Source organism: Homo sapiens, chromosome X (genome assembly GCF_000001405.40).
Source record: "Homo sapiens chromosome X, GRCh38.p14 Primary Assembly".
Taxonomy (NCBI): domain Eukaryota; kingdom Metazoa; phylum Chordata; class Mammalia; order Primates; family Hominidae; genus Homo; species Homo sapiens.
In genome coordinates, this window is record NC_000023.11 from 56,732,964 (window position 1) to 56,750,018 (window position 17,055).

Sequence of the window (17,055 nt, forward strand, 5' to 3'; positions counted from 1 at the left end):
TTTGACTTTTATTTTTATATTGAACTTTCTTCTACTTTCCTTTTATTGTTCTTTTTCTAATTTATTGAGTTGAATCTTTAGCATCTTAATTTTCAATGTTCTTCTGTAAAATAAGAATTTAGAACTATAAATTTTCTTCTACCACTTTAGAAATATTTCACAGACTTTTATATATAGTATTTTTATCATTCAATATTTATTATTTTTAAATTTCTCTTATGATTTTTTTGACCCATGGTTTGTTTTTTTTCAATTTCTAATCATATGGGATTCCTTTTTTAAAAAATATATTATGAAATCATTACATTATTCCCATTCTAGTTTAACTTTATCTTATTTTTCTTTTTTAATTTTTTTTACATCTATAGACTTTATTAGATGTTCTTTATACAGTCATCTGGTATGTATAAAGAGTGAACAATCATATAAAAGGAAATATGGTCATAACTGATTGAATTAATAAAATCCTGAAACTAAATAACTCATAATTCATTGCACAACATATATTAGGTTTCATTAGATCAGTATATAGCTTAGTAGTAAACTCTCCTGATGGCCATAAACCTCTAAGGTGTTGTCATCCTGAAAAATGAAGGAGGGGAGGGAGCTGGTGGGGTGCAGAATGGAGAAACCTTCCATAGTGCTGGTGTGATGTACCCTAAGTTGTAAAGTTATAGGGCATCGCCACCTAGTGGCAGAATTTCATGCCTTGTTCTAATTAAGGGACTTTCCTTGTTTTCCAAAGAGCAATGTGTCTTGTTCACTTTCTAACCATCCCTCTCTGATGCTGTCCTTCCTAAAATCCATGCCTCCTCCCATACAGTGTAAACCCATCTGCTTTTCATCCATCAAGCTGTCAAGGATTTGGTTATGACAATTTTTATGTTCACCTAACTTTTTAGTTCCAAGTACTTCGGTTATTTTCAAAGCTACACACAGGATGCCCATATTTTTATAACTCCATCTTATTTGTGAAGGATTATTACTTTGTGCTTTGGCCTAGTTTTTATTCTTACTGCTGAATCTTTTCATAAGTTAAAGTTATTGCAGAGTTAATGCTTTAAAAGGCAGTCCTTAGAGTAAATAGCTAAATGAAATCATTACCAAAATGTACACTTTGGATTTATTAAGATTCTAGAATTTAAAAACAGGAAAAGGTGCCATTAGTGAAAATTCCATCACTAACATTTTGGTACCACTCGTAGAGCATCACATAAATATTCAGACCGTGATAACTCAGTGCAGGAATGTTATCAAATATGTCCATGCAATCTGGAACTAGGACCAGAGTTGGCAATTGGGGGTCTGAAGGCCCAACATCCCTTACACTGCTTCCTACACCTTGACAACAGGAAGGCTGAGTGATACTAGGTAGTGCACTACAACAGTGAACATAAGCCAGCCATCTGTTTTTTGCAAAGTATAATAAAATAGAAAAACAGAACATAGACCACTTCAGAGCAAACAAACATATCCTTCTTCAAGATGTAGGAAAACCATATATTCAAAACCAATCTCAAACTTTAAACAATAAAAGATATCAAACATTTTAAACTGTACAAAGCAAATTAGCAAGATTTTAATGTTGGCAGTTTTAAAATGTCACCCATCCAAAACACAAAACAGGGAGATAACCAAGTCTTAGCTCCATCCTAATCAAAGCTGTCATGCAGATCCAGTTCCACTCTTCTCATCTCCAGCAGGTACTTCACTCAAGGAGGTAACACCCAAGGGGAGTAGATGGACCAAAAACAAGAGTGCCACATAGAAGGAAGAGAGGGGACCTTGGACTTTAGCTACTGGTTAGCTATTCAACTTTGATGATATTCAGTGTTTTCCCAAGTTATTTTTTCTCGCTTCTCATCACATAATTTACATTATGCATACTATGTGCCAGAGACTGTTTGACATGTAGTCAGTTAATTTTCACAACTGTGTAAAGTTGGTTTCTATCATTAGCTCTATCTTAGGGCCAAAGAAACTGAAGCACGGAGAGGTTAAATTGTATTCCTAAAGCACTACACAGTGAGCAAATAGATTCAGACCTGTGCAGTCTAACCCAGAATTAGCTCTGAATCACTCTACCATTCTGTCTACAGGACAACAAGCCTGTGTGTTTCAGGTACTTTCATGGTGATTTTTCACACAGGACAGCTTTTGATAATAGAAAGGCCCTCTCTTTCAAATGAAAGGACTTCACTGATGGATTAACAAATTCTCACCTTTTCACCTATGTGAGCCAAATACTAGATCTACTTTCTTAGTCTTCATAACAAGCAGGACGATAACCATAATTTATAATGAACACAAAACATTGATATAGTGTTCAAAGAACTTTTGCACACTTGGTCTCGTTTGGAAGAATGAAGTAATCTGGAAACATAGAATAGGCATACACTGTGACTTTAGGAAGAACTCTCACAAAATCAGAGGTTGCCCTATGTAATATCACACTTTTTACCTTGAGCAGGTGGATAGCCTGGGAGTTCTTGTTATACCTCAATCTTGGTCCATTCTATTTGTTCCCCTGTCCTTCAGCAGTGCCCTTAGGCTTGCTTTAAACATTAACAGCATTCATAAGCATGGTTTCTAGGGTCAGAGCCCAGCCTCCCTCCACCCACCCGGCTCCCTACACACCTTGACAGTGCTCTTTGAGATGCCTCAGTTCTAGTCTCCTTGTAATTGTGCACAGTAGATGTCTGAACAAATAGACCAGAGTCCTGCAAAAGTGATCTTGAAATCACAATTAAAAGAGACTTTGGAGAGATCTACTCAGGAAAATTTTCTGAATAGACAAATGCTTTTAAAGGGGGTTCTAGACAGTCCGTCTTTTCTGCCTCCTTCTGCGAAGTAGGGCTACACTAAAACCTTGTCACAATGTGACCTGAGCAAAACCATTATCAAGTGATTTAGTTGTCTTGAACCAGACAAAAGAAAATTGACATGATTTCAAGATAGGTTTAGAAAAATAATCTGACTAGCAAAAAAAAAAAAAAAAATGGGGGGTGGTTCCTAGGGAATATGAGACTTGATATTTTAGCAAAAATTTAAATATGCTCTTTATGATACACACATTTCTCGTTGCTTTACAAATTTTAAATGTAACACAAATTTGTTTTTCACACTGTTTTGTTAGTTGAGGTAAGGCATTCCTGCCGCACGCAGCAATGACTCGTCCTGGAAAACCAGGGAGGCTGCATATCCTACTGTTCCTTCTCTACTAGCTGTGGCTCCACACTCTCACCTCCACCAAAGAAAGCATTTCAGAATTTAGGGGTGGAAATGATGACAACATTGAATAATTCTATTTTTTTCTTTTTTTTGAGACAGAGCCACTGTCGCTCAGGCTGAAGTGCAGTGGCGCAATCTAGGCCCACTGCAGCCTCCGCCCCCCGGGGTCAAGCAATTCTCCTGCCGCAGCCTCCCAAACAGCTGGGACCACCGGTGCCCGCCACCATGCCCGGCCAATTTTCCGCATCCCTAGTAGAGACGGGGTTTCACCATGTTGGTCAGGCTGATCTCAAATTCCTGACCTCAGGAGATCTGCCTGCCTCGGCCTCCCAAAGTGCTGGGACCACAGGCGTGAGCCACCACGCCCGGCCAATGATTCTAATTTATATTTTTAAAAATTACCTTATAATCTTAAAACTTTTAACTGATGAGTATCCAACCCTTAAACTTTATAACAATCATTTCCAAAGTGGAAAAGTCACTGGGATATGGGGAAAAGTATGATTTGTTTTTGTACTTCTATTTTTCTAATGTCTACTTTTTGTTTTCTAGTCTACATGTTAGCACAGGAGTATATATATTACTTAAGTATACCTATGTTGGAGTGCATACAGAATTTCTTTTTAAATGATAGGATGCAAAATCAAATCTATTTGGATAGCAGTGAAGAGGCTGTTTTTCAATCCTGGCAAACTAGGGGGTGCATACCCCCTTTTTTATTTAGTAGCTTCCATAAGGCTATAACTCATGGAAGTTACATCCTTACATAAACTGATGGGCTATCCAACCAGTGAGGAAAACTGATAAAGTGGCCTCTGAGCTCCAGGAAGTAGTTAAACACTACTAAAAACATCTTGAAAATTTGGAAAAAAATTTAACAGTAAATGGATTCAGTAGTTATTCAGTATAAGGTTTGGAATAACTCCAGCCATTACAATAGACATTTATTTAAAGTAAAACATCTGCAGACCAAATAATTCTTAAAATTGTTTGTTTCAAGTTTAACCATCTTCATAACAGCTGCATCCACAGACTTCAACTACATGATTACTTCTTTGCCCATTCTTCTCTTTCTTTTCTTTCCCGAATAACCTCTTGCACATACAGTTCAAGGTAGAAATTTTCCTCTTCATATTTGGTCCACTGCTCTTTAGGCAAGATCTGATGCTTCATGGTCAGGTCCAATGCACTCTTAATGTGACACATCCTGTCATTATAAAGGTTCTCAGGAAGCCTTCTTATGGCTTCTTTTATGTCTTCATCCTCATATATTGTATCATCTCTCATTAACCCCAGTTTATTGAATCCTGCAGTATTGTAATACCATTTTCGAATACCATCCAGCCACTTGCCTGATGCTGAAATGGCCTGCTTGCCAGCCATTTTGACCTGCTTTAATTTTTTTTAATCCTTCTTATAACAAGATACAAAAATTATACACTGGCTGCTCATCCCAACAGAATTTGGCAATATAAAACATTTTCTTTCATTAAATACATAGAAAAAGTGTGGTTATTGATATTTATTGATGTAGTTATTATTGAATTTTATATTTGTGTTTTTAAAATTTTTATTTTTATTTAATTTCACACTTGAAAAACCAGGAATATTACAAAGAACTCCCAGAATGTCCTTTACCCAGATTCACCAATTAACATTTTATCACGTTTGCCTTATCATTCTGTTTTTCTCTTCCTCTCCTCCTTCTCCTATTTGACAGTAGTTTGCAAATATCATTCTCCTTTACCTCTTAATATGTCAGTGTGTATTTCCTCAGAATGATGATTTCCTCTTATACATCCTCAGTAAATGTGTCACAATCAAGAAATTTGACATTGTTTCAATATCATAATCTACGCCATATTCCAATGTTATCAGTTGTCCCAATAATGTCTTTTGTGGTTATTTTCTTTCCTTGGTCAAAGTGCTAATCCAAGATGATGCATTACATTTACTTGTCATGTCTCTTCAGTTTTTAATATGGAACAATTCCTTGACCTTTCTTTGTCTTTTATGTTTATAGAAAAACAAACTTAGTTTCTCTCATTATATTCTCACAACCCCACTTCTGACACTGATTGTGTGGAAAAAAAGTTTTTCTTTGGCTCTTGTACCACAGCAACCAACACAGAAAGCTTGTGAACAAATGTATTGGGATTTTTTCTCACCGACAGGCAAGTAAACAATTCTGCAGTGGACACCAGCTGGGTGTTCTCCAATCCAATTCAATTCTGAAGCTATCTCCCTACAGAAAGTATCAGATCCCACAGATTGAGGGCTTAGTCCCACGAGACTGCCTCAACTTTAGACATCAGTTTCAAATCTGGGCCTCTGGAACTTTTAACTGACCAGCTTCAAGTTAGGGTTCCCGCAACCTCTCTCTTTAGGCTCAAATAATTTGCTAGAACAACACACAGAACTCAGGGAAACACTTACTTACATTTACCCATTAACAGCCAGATGAAGAGATACATAGAGTGAGGTCTGGAAGGCTACTGAGCACAGGAGCTTCCATTCCTGTGGAGTTAGGGTGTGCCACCCTCCTGGCATGTGGATGAGTTATTTGTCACCTTTCTGAAATCCTCCACAAATTCAGCTGTACTTTGTCCTCTTGTGCTTTTTATGAAGACTTTATCTGATAGGCACTAATGAAGCATGAACAACCATGTAGAAATGTGACTGGACTAAAGGGTATGATCTAATACCAATAGACTTGGTGGAGAAACCCAGCAAGGCTTGTCTGTTCAGATTCTTCTTGGTTTCTCTGTGCAGCATTCCTTCCTCCTGGGTATGGGGCAGGACTCTTTCTGAAATGGGAGTCTTATGACCCACAGTCAAACTAGGTAGGTCAGAGAATTTCTTTACGACCAGCTCCAAGCCAGAAAGCTGGGTGAAGATTAGAGTATATTTTTAGTTTCTATGGCTTGCCTTTGGGAGAAAAAAAAAGCAGGTAAAAGGAGGGCAGGAGAAAGTCAGAGAGAGATTCTGTTTTGTGAAGCCTAAAGTGCCCCAACATTATACATATATATGTGTGTTTGTGTGTGTATATATATATATATATATATATATGTATGTATATATATATATTTTTATATATATATATATAGAGAGAGAGAGAGAGAGAGAAACTGTCTCTCACTTTTATTTCTCTGAAGCTGTTTCAAAGCTGCTTCAGGAACCAAAGACAAAAGACCAAATACTTTAACAAGAGATATGCTTATTTCTTTAGTCACTTAGGAAATAACAAGAGATTTGGGAGTTATAAGCCAGGAACCATGGACAAAAACCAATATATATATATCACAATATCACACATCGACAATTGACACTTGGGTAAATACAGGACACTTATTTCATAGATTGTCCTTTAATTTAAATTTGTGTGCCATTTCCCCATTATTCAGAGTACGCATATTAGCAAAAGCACCACAGAAGTAATGTATTGTTCTCAGGGCATCATAATGGTGGTACATGATGCTGGTTTGACCCTTTAGTAGTAAAGTTAACTTTGATTACTTGGTTAATGTGGTGAATAGTTGCTAGATTAATCCACTTTACAGTTATCATTTTCCTCTTTATAATTAATGATTTTGCTGGGGATACTTTGAGACTATGTAAATATCCTGTTCCTCATTAAATTATCATCCACTGGTTTTCAAATCCATTGATAATTCTTGACTGAATCAGATATTGCTATGATGAATGCAAAATGGTAATTTTCAAACTCCATCATTTTTAGTACATTTATTAGTTTATATTCTACATCAAGGTAGAGCTTTTTCTCCATTTATTTGTTTATTAATTACTTTGGACACATAGATTTTTACTTTATTTTAAAAATACCCTATTGTTATTATTTATTTTAATACCCAAATTGTCTCAGATTTAGTGACTGGCTGCCCATTCAAGTTGGCTCCCCTGTCTTTTGACATGTGTCATCATTCTTAAACACACTTTTTACTTACTTTAAAATTTTTTTACTTCCTTACTTTCAAGCTTGTCTTGTACTTCCTACCCCATTAATCATTTCTCTATAGACCTCTGTTATCTTTTATGGAGACAGTATTTAGAAACTAAGTCATTGTATATAGCTGTTTTTTAGCTTAACATTTTGTCATTGTTTTCCATTTAAAAGACAATATTGCTTATGTGATAATGATTATTTAGTGTTTGTTGAAACTTGCTTTATGTCCTAGAGAACATGATCAACTAGTGTTTTATGTGTGCCTGGAAAGATTGTGTATCTAATTTTTGCGTGTAGTGTTCTGTTCATTAAATTTAACTGTGTTGTTTAAATCTTCTCTATTCCTAAGTTTTTTGTTTGCTGGACCTATCAGTTACCAAGAGAGTTAAAATCTCCCACTGTATTTGTGTATTTGTCAAATTCTTACACTTTTGACAATTTTTGCTTTGTATACTTGAGGCATTGTTAGTATGTACATACAAGTCTAGAATAGATACATATTTTACAATTTTAGGAACTCTTTTTATCTTTTTGAATGTAAATTTTTTTTGTTTGCTGGGTCTTTTTAATTTTGTAAAATCTTTCTGGGTACCTAGTAGTTGTATACATTTATGGGGTATATGAGATGTTTTGATACATGCAAAGTGTAATAATCACATCATGTACAATGGGGTATCCATCATTTCAAGCATTTATCCTTTGTGTTACAGACAATTTAATTATACAGTTATATTATTATTGACTATAGTCACCCTGCTGTCCTATCAAATAATAGGTCTTATTCATTCTTTTTGTATACCCGTTAACCATCCCCACTCTCCCCCACCACCCATTACCCTTCCCAGCCTCTGGTAACCATCTTTCTACTCTCCATCTCCATGAGTTCAATTGTTTTGATTTTTAGATTCCACAAATAAGTGAGAACATGTGATGTTTGTCTTTCTGTGCCTGGCCCATTTCACTTAACATAATGATATCCAGTTCCATCCATGCTGTTGTAAATAACTAGATCTCATTCTTTTTTATGACTGATTAGTACTCCACTATGTATATATACCACATTTTCTTCGTTCATGTATCTGTTGATGAACCCTTAGGTTGCTTCTAAATCTTAGCTGTTGTAAGCAGTGCTGCAACAAACATGGGAGTGCAGATATCTCTTTGATAATACTGATTTCCTTTGTTTGGGGTATATACCCAGCAGTGGGATTGCTGGGTCATATGGTAGCTCAATTTTTAGTTTTTTGAGGAATCTTCAAATCGTTCTCCATTGTGGTTGTACTAATTTACATTCCCATCAACAGTGTACAAGCATTCCCTCTTCTCCGCATTCTTGCCAGCATTTGTTATTGCCTGTCACTTGGATATAAGCCATTTTAATTGAAGTGAGATAATATCCCATTGTAGTTTTGATTTGCATTTCCCTGATGATCAACTACAATGAGTACTTTTTCACATGCCTGTTTGCCATTTGTATATCTTCTTTTGAGAAAGGTCTATTCAAATCTTTGTCACAATTTTGATCAAATTATTAGATTTTTTCCTATTGAGTTGTTTGAGCTCCTTATATATTTTGGTTATTAATTTCTTGTCAAAAGTGTAGTTTGCAAATATTTTCTCCCATTGCACCTATACTTTATAGACTGTTTGCTTTGCTGTGCAGAAGCTTTTTACTTGATGTGATCCCATTTGTTCATATTTGCTTTGATTGCCTTTGCTTGTGGGGTATTAATTAAGAAATTTTTGCCCAGATCAATGTCCTGGAGATTTTTCCCATATTTTCTTGTTGTAGTTTCATAGTTTGAGGTCTTTGACTTAAGTCTTTAATACATTTTGATTTGATTTTTGTGTATGGCAAAAGATAGCTATCTAGTTTCATTCTTCTGCATATGGATATCCAGTTTTCCCAGCACCAATTATTGAAGAGACTGTCTTTTCCATAGTGTATGTTCTTGGCACCTTTGTGGAAAATGAGTTTGTTAGGTGTGTGGATTTGTTTCTGGGTTCTCAGTTATCTTTCATTGGTCTATGTGTCTGTTTTTGTGACAATACCATGCTGTTTTGATTACTGTAGTTCTGTAGTATAATTTGAAGTCAGGTAATATGATTCCTCCAGTTTTGTTCTTTTTGCTTAGGATAGCTTTGGTTATTCTGGGTCTTTTGTGGCTCCATATAAATTTTAGGATTGTTTTTTCTATTTCTGTGAAGAATGTTTTTTGTATTTTTATAAGTATTGCATTGAACCTGTAGATTGCTTTTTGTGGCATGGACGTTTTAACAATATTGATTCTTTCAATTCATGAACATGGACTATCTTTCCATTTTTTGGTGTCCTCTTCAATTTCTTTCATCAGTGTTCTACAGTTTTTATTAAAGAGATCTCCCACTTCTTTGGTTGAGTTAATTGCTAGGTATTTAATTTTATGTTTGGCCATTGTAAGTGGAATTACTTTTAAATTTCTTTTTCAGATTGCCCAATGTTGGCATGTGGAAATGCTACTGATTTTCGTATGTTGATTTTGTATCCTGCAACTTTACTGAATTTATCAGTTCTTATAGTTTTTGTGGAATCTTTATGCTTTTCCAAACACAAGATCAAATCCTCTGCAAACAACGGTAATTTGACTTCTTCCTTTCCAATTTGGATGCCCTTAATTTCTTTCTCTTGTCTGATTGCTCTAACTAGGACTTGCAGTACTATGTTGAATAACAGTGGTGACAATGGGCGTCCTTGTCATGTTTCAGATCTTAGAGGAAAAGCTTTCAGTTTTTCCCTATTTGGTATGATACTAGCTGTGGGTCTGTTATATATGGGTTTTATTATGTTGAGGTATGTTCCTTCTATACCCATTTTTGAAGGTTTTTATCATGACGGCATGTTGAACTTTATCCAATGCTTTTTCAGCATCAAGTGAAATGACCATATGGTTTTTGTCCTCCATTGTGTTGATACTATGTATCACCACTGTTGAACCATCCTTCCATCCCAGGGATAAATCCCACTTGGTCATGATGAATAATCTTTTTAATGTATTGTTGAATTTGATTTGCTAGTAGTGTGTTGAAGATGTTTGCATCAATATTTATCAGAGATATTGGCCTGTTTTTTTTTAATTTGTTTCTGTCTGATTTTGGTATCAGGCCTCATGGAATTAGTTTGGAAGTATCCCTTCCTCCTGTATTTTTCAGAATAGTTCAGGTAGGATTGATATTAGTTCTTCTTTAAATATTTGGTAGAATTCAGCAGTGATGCCATCAGGTCCCAGGCTTTTCTTTACTGGGAGACTTTTTATTATGGCTTTTTATTGGTCTTTTCAGGTTTTGGATTATCTTCATGGTTCAGTCTTGATATGTCATATGTGTAGAGGAGTTTCTCTATTTAGTCTAGATTTTCCACTTTATTGGCATATAGTTGCTCATAGTTGCCATTAATGATCCTTTGAATTTCTGCAGTATCAGTTGTAATGTGTCCTTTTTCATCTCTGGTTTTATTTATTTGGATCTTCCCTCTTTTTTTCTTAGTCTGGGTAAAGGTTTGCCAAATTTGTTTCACATTTCAAAACACCAACTTTTTATTTCATTTACTTATTTATTTTGTATTGTTTTCTTCATTCCAATTTCATTTATTTCGGCTCTGGTGTTTATTATTTCTTTTCTTCCTCTAATTTTGAGTTTAGTTTTCTCTTGCTTTTCTAGTTCTTTAAGATTCATTATTGGTTTCTTTATTTTAAGTTTTACTTTTTTTTTATTTAGGCACTAAATAACTAAACTTATATATAACTAAACTTTATAGCTATAAACTTCCCTCTTAGTACTGCTTTTGCTTTATCCCGTAGGTTTTTGTATGTTGTGTTTCCATTATCATTTGTTTCAAGAAATTTTTCAATTTTCTTCTTGGTTTCTTCATTGACCCACTGCTTATTCAGGAACATACTGTTTAATTTCCAGGTATTTGTATAGTTTCCAAAATTCTTCTTGTTATTGATTTCTATTTTTATTCCATTGTGGTCAAAGATGCTTCATATTATTTCAATTTTTTTGAATGTTTTAAGACTTGTATTGTGACCTAACATATGGTCATGTGACCTAACATGGTGGCTTTAGAGAATGATCCATGTGCTGAGGAAAAGAATGTATATTCTGCAGCCGTTGGATGAAATGTTCTGTAAATATCTGTTAGGTCCATTTGGTCTACAGTACAGATTAAGTGTGATGTTTCTTTGTTGATTTTCTGTTCGGAAGACCTGTCCAATGTTTCCTTGCTGTTAACATAGCTACTCCACCTTTCCTTTTTTGGTGGTATTTCTTTTTCCATTGTTTTACTCATTCACTTTTTTCTTTCTTTTATCTTTTACAAAATGTTCTGCCAAAAAATCAATGCATTGATTTGTTTGTTTCTGAATTTACCAATAGAATTTATAATTAGTATTAAGGATAAGCTTTATATATCCAAACATTATCTTTCTTTACTAATTTTTTATTTTATAGAATTTAAACTCTACAGAAAAGTCAAAAGATATCTTTCATGTATTGTAGTGCCATTCTTTTCCAAGGGAGATACATTCCAAAATCCCCAGTGGATGCCTGGTAACATGAAGAGTAATTAATCCTATATAAACTATGTTTTTTTCCTATACATACATATGTATGATAAAGTTAAATTTATAAGTTAGGCACAATACAAGATTAACAACAACAGTAATAAAATAGAACAATTATTACAATATTCATAGTTTCATGGATAGAAGACTCATTCTTACCATAGGTCTTAGCAACTTCAACACATGATTTTTTTCTTCCCTTATTAAGTTGAAAACTTCCTCCTTTTCACTTAAAGGAAGCATTTTACAGCTTCTCTTTAGCATATGTGAACTGCCAGCATTATCATTCTTGCACTTTGGGGTTACTATTAAGTAAAATAAGGATTACGTGAACATAAGCACTGTGATACTGCAACAGTTTATTGGATAACCAAGATGGCTAGCAAGTGACTGATGGGCGGGTAAGGAATACAGCGTTGATGTGCTGGACAAAGGGATGATTCACATCTGGAGCAAACATGAGATTTCATCACACTACTCACAGTGGTGTGAAATTTAAAACTTATGAGTCGTTTATGGAATTTTCCATTTACTGTTTTCAGACTGCAGTTAATCATGGGTAACTGAAACTGTGGATGAGGGGGGACCACTTTAGATTCATCAGGGCATCAATTTGGCTACATATGGCTTATCTCTTTTTCTAAATACTATATACATATATGTATATATACATACACAGATTTTTTTGCTGAGCCATTGGGAAGTAACTTGCAGATATCATGACACTTCAACCCTAAACACTAAATCATATATCTCTTAAGAACAATTAAATTACTATTACACCCAGAGAAATTTAACATTGATACAATACTATTATCTAATATACTATCCATATCAAGTTCTCACAATTTTCCTAACAATATCCTTTATAGCTTTTTATTTGTTTTGGTCCAGGATCCAGTCAGGGGTCATGCATTGTATTTAGTTGTCATGCTCCTTTTTAGTCTTTTTAAATCTAGAATAGCACCCTCCCTTTTTTTTTCTTGTCCTTTTTTTGTGACGTTGCCATTTTTGATGAGTCCAGGTAGTTTTCCTCTATATGTCTCACAGTATGAAATGTGTCTGATTGTTTTCCCATGATTAGTTTAAGCGTTTTTAGCAAGAAGACTACATGGGCGATGTTCTGTCCTTCTTAGGCACAAAATTCTAGTTTATCCCAAGAGCATAGATACCTTTGGGGATTTTACAGATAGCTAGGTGGGTATTTTTTACTTCCCCCTTAAGAAAGTTACTTTTCTGGACACGGGTCAAATTATGGTTTATAATTTGCACCATATTCCATGTCTAGGTTACCTGTTTACAGAAATGCTCAGCATGAAGAGGAGTTTCTATATCTGTTCTGCCATCACATTTTCCTACTTCAGAGCATTTACTTAGTCCGGTTGGTTGTCTGTCTGTGTATTCACAAACTTTCACAATCAACTCAATAGGGAATAAAGTTTTTTTTTTCAGCAGCTTCATGTGCAGTCTCCTTAAGTACTTTTTCCTATGACTTGGTCACTTTTCTCCCTCTCATTGTATAAAGACTTTCTCATACTACTCTATATTGATCATTTTTAAGAGGCAAATATGATATGATCGAGTTCCTCTCCTGTTATTCTTACCTCCTGACATGTTATCATAGCATCTGGGTCTTCTGTCTCTGGGAAGATAAGCCAGATTTTATTGCATGGATTCTGTATTAGTTTTATATTTCTACCATAACAAAATGATCACAAATTTAGAAATTTAAAAGAACATATTTATTATAGTTCTGGAGGCCAGAAGCCTGCTATGGGTCTCATCAGACCTGATGAGAAGTCAAGCTGTTGGCTGGCTGCATTCCTTTCTAGAGGCTCTGGGGGGATATGTCCTGCTCATTTGGTTATTGGCAGAATTCCGTTCCTTGCCACTGTAGATCTGAGATCTGTAGATCTCAGTTCCTTGCCACTGTAGATCTGTAGATCTGAGATCCCTTTCTTGCTGGCTATGAGCTAAGAGCTGTTCCTAGCTTCTAGAGGCCACCCAAATTCCTTAGATTGTCATCTCTTTTCTCCATCTTCAAAGCCAACCATGGCAAATTGAGTCCCTCTCATACTTAGAATTTCTCCATTTTCTTTTGTCATTACATCTTTCACTGACTCAGATGATATGCTTTTAAAGATATATGCAATTAGAGTATGCCCACCCAAATAATTCAGAATATTCTCCCCCATCTCAAGATCCTTAACTTAATCACATCAGTAAAGTTCCTTTTGCCTTGTAAAATAACATAGTCATGGATTCTTGTAATTGTGGTGTGGACATCTTTGGGTGGCCATCATTTTGCCTACCACAGATTTTATTATAGCAGCAAGCCATAACCTGACACCGAGTGTGTGATTCATCCATTCTTTTATTCAACCAACACAAATATTAAAGAATGCCTATTAAATTGAGCATGTATTAAATTCCAGGCATTGTTTTATGTGCCAGGGTTACAAAAATATAACATCTAACTCACCAAGGAGTTCATAAACTGGTTTGGTAAGTTCTGTAGATAGAGATTGGCACAGAGTTCTATAAGAGAATACAAGAAGGCACATGAGCAAGACTAGAAGAGCCAGGAATGGCCTCCTGTATTGATCAATATCTAAGCTCAGTCTTTGAAATGAAATGAGGTACTAAGTAAGGATGGATGATTGTAGATGGGTAAAGAACTTCAAGCAGTGAGAAAATAATGACCAAAGTTACAGAACTCGAGGTAGGCTGGTTTTTGGAGGAGGTGAGATGTATGGTAGGTAGTTTTCCTGGAGTGGAGAGATGGAGCTAGATCAGCAAGCTGAAGCATAAACATGAAGACTTTGTGCACTACAAAGGCTCAAGATAGATCTGTAGGAAATGGGATGTGACTGACAATCTTGAAAGAGAGTGCTGTGTTCACATTTATATTTTATATAGGTCATACTAGTGGCCATGTGGAGGATAGTATAGTAGAGCAAGATTGGGGTAAGAAGATCATTTAAGATGCTTGTATGAAAATCCCGACAAAAAGTGATGAAGGCTTGAACTCAGCCAATGGTAGTTGGGATGGAGCACAGATCAGTGAATTTGAGAAAGTTTTATGAAGTATTATTGATTAGATGGTGTATCAATCAGGGTTCAACCAGAGAAATAGAACCAGTAGGAGATATATATTAAGAAATGTATTATAAAGAATTGGCTTGTGGGGGCTGTGTAGGCAAGCCTGAAATCTGTGGAGTGGGCTTTCAGGAAGGACAGACTGGAACTCCTGGACATGGGCTGAAGCTGATGTCCTCAGGTTAAATTTATTCAGGGAGACCTTAGCTCTGGTCTTAAGGTCCATCAGCTGATTGAATCAGGTCTACCCAAATTATTTAGGATAATCTCCTTTACTTAAAGTTAACTGATTATAGACAGTAATCACATCTACAAAATAGCTTCACAGCAAAACCTAGTTAAATTGAATAACTGAGGACTCTAGCCTAGCCAAATTAACACATCAAAAGACAATCACAGATGGGATGTCAAGGGAAACAGAATAATAGAGGGTAGTTCTCAAGTATGTGGCTTGAGTATTACATGAAATCACTAACTGAGTTATAGAATACAAGAAAAAGAGCAGGTTTTCAACATTTTCAGTAAGATACCTAGATGGAGGTTCCTGGCAAGCAGGTAAAGATCTGAGATTGCAAGAGAAGTGTTGTCCATATAAATATATTTAGATAACCATCAGCATAAAGGTGATAGATAAAACCAGGAGAGTAAATTAAATAATCTAGAAGAAGGTATATATAGAGAAAAGTTATGGATTGAGAAGGAAATTCTGGGGACCACTAACATTTAAGGATTATCTAGAGAAAGATGAACAGATAAAGGAGTAATAGGATGAGGGGGAAACCTGAAAAAGTCTGATGCCGATTAAGAAAAATGTAGTGAACAGCAACATAATATACATTAGAGGGTTCAGTACTGAAAAATATTTATTAATTTGTAAATTAAGTTTATTGGTGAATTTAGCATTAACGGTTTCCGTGTTGTGAGAGCAGAGGCCAGATTACAGTGGGTTGAAGAGTTACTAGGAAGTGCCAAGTTGAGGGTAGCTGGCATACGAGATGGGATGAGAATGGAGGATAAAAATTGGACAATATTTTATAATTAAATGATAACTGTAAGAAGATTAAGAGCCAAGGGAGTATTAAAAAATAATGGTAGGAACTTGCAGTTTTATTGACTTAAAGTAACAAGAAAAGGGGTAGAGACTGAAGATATAGGACATAAGAGAATTCAAAGTTACTGAGAAATAAAAGAAATAGGCCTGGTTGTTAGAGAGGGTGCAGTGACAAGAGAAGGACTTGTTTTATTCTTTGGATAAGACTAGGGTATTGGTACTCAATGGAGGTAGTATAATCCTGAGAGGGTGATTGGAAAGTTTGTGAAAGGCATTTAAGATAATCATTATTGAAGTGCTTCCTGACATATTGTGGGCAGGGTCAGTATTGCTAAATAACCTGCAATATGCAAGACAGCCTGCACAATGAAATTTTCTATATCCCATACAACTTTTAAATATATCATCAGATTAAACACTTATTTTTGTTAATCTAGACCTTGAATTGAACTCCATTCTATATATATATAAGCAAGTTTTTAATACACACTAACTTTTCCAGGAATGTAACTACCATGTAATCCAAGGTAAAAACCTTTGTTTTGTTCAGAATCTTATCAAGAATGTTTATCATTTTGGAAAATCGTGATACCTACAAAAACGCTGCTCTTGGATATTTGAAATCCAGATAACAACACACATGCATCAGTCAGTAATTATAGCTGCCACCTTTACAGGCATTCTCTGTATATTTTTTGCATACTTCATTGTCTTCTAGTGTTGTCATGTCCCCACATTTGCATCCTTTTTTTTTTTTTTTGAGACAGGGTCTCACTCTGACACCCAGGCTCGAGTAGAGTGTCACAGTCCCATCTCACTGCAGCCTCGACCTCCCGGGTTCAAGCGATCCTCCTGCCTCAACCCCCCAAGTAGCTGGGACCACAGGCACATGCCGTCATGCCCAGCTAATTTTTGCGTTTGTTGTAGAAACGGGGTTTTGCCATGTTACCCAGGCTGGTCTCAAACTCCTGAGCTTAAGTGATTGTCCGATTCAGCCTCCCAAAGTGCTAGGATTACAGGCATGAACCTCCATGCCTGGCTGCACATTTACGTCTTAAAATACATTATATTTTATTATAAATTACTTTCTTGTTATTTCTATTTCATAT

General features: G+C 35.5%; 1 protein-coding gene and 1 pseudogene across 2 annotated transcripts in view, besides 1 other annotated feature; one reads left to right on the forward strand and one right to left on the reverse strand.

Annotated features, from left to right (window-relative positions):
* NBDY (negative regulator of P-body association) overlaps positions 1 to 17,055 on the forward strand; it is an 89,937-nt gene that overhangs the window by 3,721 nt on the left and 69,161 nt on the right. The gene's annotated exons all lie outside the window — the stretch shown is intronic.
* Positions 680 to 759: a silencer, noted in NCBI's record as "silent region_20869". NCBI's record gives its function as "represses an Ori minimal core promoter by ATAC-STARR-seq in GM12878 lymphoblastoid cells {active_cell/tissue: GM12878}" and the evidence as "EXISTENCE:reporter gene assay evidence [ECO:0000049][PMID:35858748]".
* Positions 3,825 to 4,621, reverse strand: UQCRBP1 (ubiquinol-cytochrome c reductase binding protein pseudogene 1; annotated as a pseudogene). Its single transcript, NR_002308.1, has one exon. The product of NR_002308.1 is annotated as a ubiquinol-cytochrome c reductase binding protein pseudogene 1 (transcript).